A 4,195-nucleotide genomic window follows, 5' to 3' on the forward strand; every position below is an offset into this window, starting at 1 on the left:
TCTTTGATTTTTCATCTGATTAGATCAATTGGAACTTCTTTGTGTGTAAAACATTTTCAAACTTAACAGAAGTCAAAAAACATGGTTTTGATTTAGTTTAAACTTTCCAATTAATTTTAATTATTCTTTTTCATACTCAAAATTTCTAGAGCCTGCAAAGCTGACTACCTCCATGCATAAACCAAAAATTGAGGTTTCTTACATTTTTAGTAAATATCTTCATTTTATGGAGCATGCTAATTGACAAAAAATTTGGTCATTTGGAAGTAGTACAAGGTTGCTCTTGGCTGCTCTCATTTGTAGGAATTCCTGATCTGAGTGCTGTATTCTATAAATGATTTCTGGAATTTGGCTTAGATGCTTAGTTCAGTCTGCATGTTCAGCTACATTTTCTCCTCTCTACTCATCTGCTGCTCATGCCTCCCTACAACTAACTACCTATAGAAACAAAGCCTATGTCTCCAGCCTTCTGTGACACCAATAGCTACCACTAGGTCCTCCTATTTCAGGCATATTCCAGGATGATCCTGCCTCTTCTCTCATTTCAGATATCCTGCCTTGTCTATCTTCATGCCTATCAAGCTGACAGAAATGGACCGTTCCTTTCTTGTCTACAGAGAGGGAAAAGAATTTCAGTATACACCACTCTCACCAGTCTCCAACAACACAGCTCTTTGTGGCATTTGGGGCTGCCCTCAATAGGAAGCATGTCATTCTACATACAGAGAATGGTTGGTTTACACAAGACTTCCTGCTGCTGCCATCACCAACAGAGATTCCTAATGTAGACATCTAACACATTCTGATCTTGCAGTAAGCTTAGCAAAGATATTTCTGGTAAAAATGTATTCAGCAGCAGAATGACTTCAGCAGTTCATTTATCACTTGATATGCCTGTTTTGCAGTTGTGTGGTCCCAGGAATGCTTGCTTACTATGATATTTTATAATAGTTTCCCAAGATTTTTTTTCCTGGACTCTGAAAAATTGCTATGAAAACCAATAGTGTATCTTTTTTCCTTGGGGGATAAGGTTTGGAAGAAGTAGTAGAAATGGGGTAGAAGCAATTCAGGTTGGGCATATTTAACCACTCATAAGAAACTTAGTCAATATTAATGGAGGCATAATTGCCAGATCAATTGAAATAATTATCCCTCCATATTCTGCACTGGGAAGACTACATTTATAGACAGTTTAGAAACACTGGAGTCAGATTTATCACAATTACAATCCCAACTCTGTGGCTTAGACCTAACCTCATAATGACACATGGTTGTTAACCTCTACTTTATGACTATCTAACATTTAATTACAGTATATTTATATATATATACTGTATATATACACACAAATATATAGAACACACATATATAGAAATATATACTGTATGTATATATATTTTTACATATACTGTGTGTATATGTGATATATTATAATCATATATATGATTATGATATATATATCATATATTATATTATAATCATATATATGACATATGATTATAATATATATCATATATTATAATCATATATATGATACATATTATATATCATATATGGTATATAATAATCATATCATATATGACATATAATCATATCACATATGATATATTATAATCATATCATATATGATACATATTATCTTATAATCATATAATATGTGATTATATTATCTTATAATATATAATATATATTATATGATTATCATATATAATATATATTATATGATTATCATATAATATATATTATATATGATAATCATATAATATATATTATATGATAATCATATAATATATGATAATATATGATTATATATTATCATATAATATATGATATATGATAATCATATAATATATGATAATATATGATAATATATGATTATATATAATATATGATAATATATGATTATATATAATCATATATAATATATGATTATATATGATTAGATATATAATCACATATATATATGAACATATATATAATATATGATATATATGATTATATATAATCGTATATATAATATACGATTATATCATATGGTATATATTATACTGTATATAATATACATAATATATAATATATAATATACATATACATTATATACGTATATAATATACATTATATATTATATACCTATATGAGATAATGTATATATTATATACATATATAATATATTATACTATATATAATATATATACATATATACATATATGATGTATATATTATATACATGTATATATGATGTATATATACACATTATAATATATATCATGTATATGATTATAATGTATATCATATATACACACAGTATATATGAAAAAGTCCTAATCTCCCTTCTGTGATCCACCAATCTAAAGCATCTTGACTTACTCTATTCCTTTCTCATATACTTTTTGATATTTTTATCTTTAAAGGTACATATATACGAATATACATTACATTATATATTATATATACACAGCATATATATATTTATATATGATTATTCATATATAATATATATTCATATATTTTATATATCTATGAAGGATTACTGAAAAGACTTATAATCATTTATTACTCCAGATGTTCTAAACTCTACCATTTCTACCATTTATAAGTTAAACAAACAAACAAAGCTCCGGGTATCGAGAACATAAAATTCTTGATTTCCTAGAAAATTGCCTTTACTGGTCTAGACTTTGGTGTGAGGGCATTGGCTATAGCAAGAAACATTGTAAATAAAAGCCAACTGAAATTTATAATTACATATTTTATAAAAATACATTTTCTACATATTCCTCTAGTCCTTTCTCTAAGGATATTTAACAGAAATTCTTTATTCTTAGTACCAGGTCTAGCTGCATTCTTATTTTTAAAAATAATTTACATTTTTTCTCTTCTTGGCTTTACGAATTAATAACTGACCATTGTCGCATTGCTAAGAATATCCATACTCTGTGGTCATCTATAGCAAGTGCACAATTATTATTATTTATTTTTTTGCTAGTCTCATTACTAACTTCATTTTACATTCTCAGTCATAAATATTCTTTCCTGCTTTTTACCTATTTTTTTTCACATTTAAGCTATGCAGTTGCACTTAAGCATTTAAGCCTGGAAAATGGTCTGAAATGCTTTCTGAATCAAATTGAGGAATAAATGAATAAATAGATACATAGCTTTGGTAAATGGCTATGTATGAGTGATCTTGAGCAATTTAACTGCTTTCTCTAAACATATTTTGTTACATGTGAAATAGGAATACTAATTACCTTATATATTCTTTTGAGAATTCAAATGATATAACATCTTAAGTGCAAATGCAGTGTCTGGCATCTAGTAAATTCTTAATAAAAGTTAATTGTATCTGAATTTATATTTAGTCCTGGAGGTAACATTTTAAAAGATCCACTGATAAAGTGTAACCAAAGGACAATAACAGCAACCGATGATTTTTCATGGGGAAAAATGGAATAGCAATACTATAACAAGATTCCATTTTTAAAAAAATAGAACAAAACTCCAAAAGAGACATCTGTGTGCTTGAGTGTGTGTGTGTGTGTGTGTTTGAGCATGTTTGAATAAGCAAAGATGACATCATAGAAGAATTAAACTCAAACTACTGACTGAGGTTACCTTGTGAGACTGGAAGGCAGCAGAGAGGACTTTACATTTTAATTCATACATATTTTTAAATGGAAAAATTGGAGAAACCACTGAAAATTTCTAGATGCTTTCTTCCGATTTCTAATTTTTTCTCTATTTATTACTTTAATCAAATACCTAAATATTACATTAAAATGAATTACTGAAGGAGGAATGCAGATAAAAATATGAGGAGTCTGGAAATCATTTTATAATAGGAAAAACACTGAGGACATTTTGTGTAAAGCTGAGATAAAGGAGGAATTATGGCTGTCTTCAAATATTTGAAGGACTCTCATGTGGAGAATAATTTACGCTTATTCTACAATGCTCCAAAGGATGGAATAGTGTCTTGATAAAAGAAGTAACAATTTAGTCAGAGTAAAGGAAATCTTGAATGAGCTGCTACTCAATATTAGCTTTAAGATGTCACATGTTTGTCTTTCAGGGGTGTTATATTTAAGTGAAAATTGCTAAGGTAGATCTAATTAGATTCTGAAATAACATCTACACTGCTATTTTTTTACAAGATGAAAAATATCTATTTGTTTTATTATAAGAAAGTTTGCTA

Source organism: Homo sapiens, chromosome 3, assembly GCF_000001405.40.
Source record: "Homo sapiens chromosome 3, GRCh38.p14 Primary Assembly".
Taxonomy (NCBI): domain Eukaryota; kingdom Metazoa; phylum Chordata; class Mammalia; order Primates; family Hominidae; genus Homo; species Homo sapiens.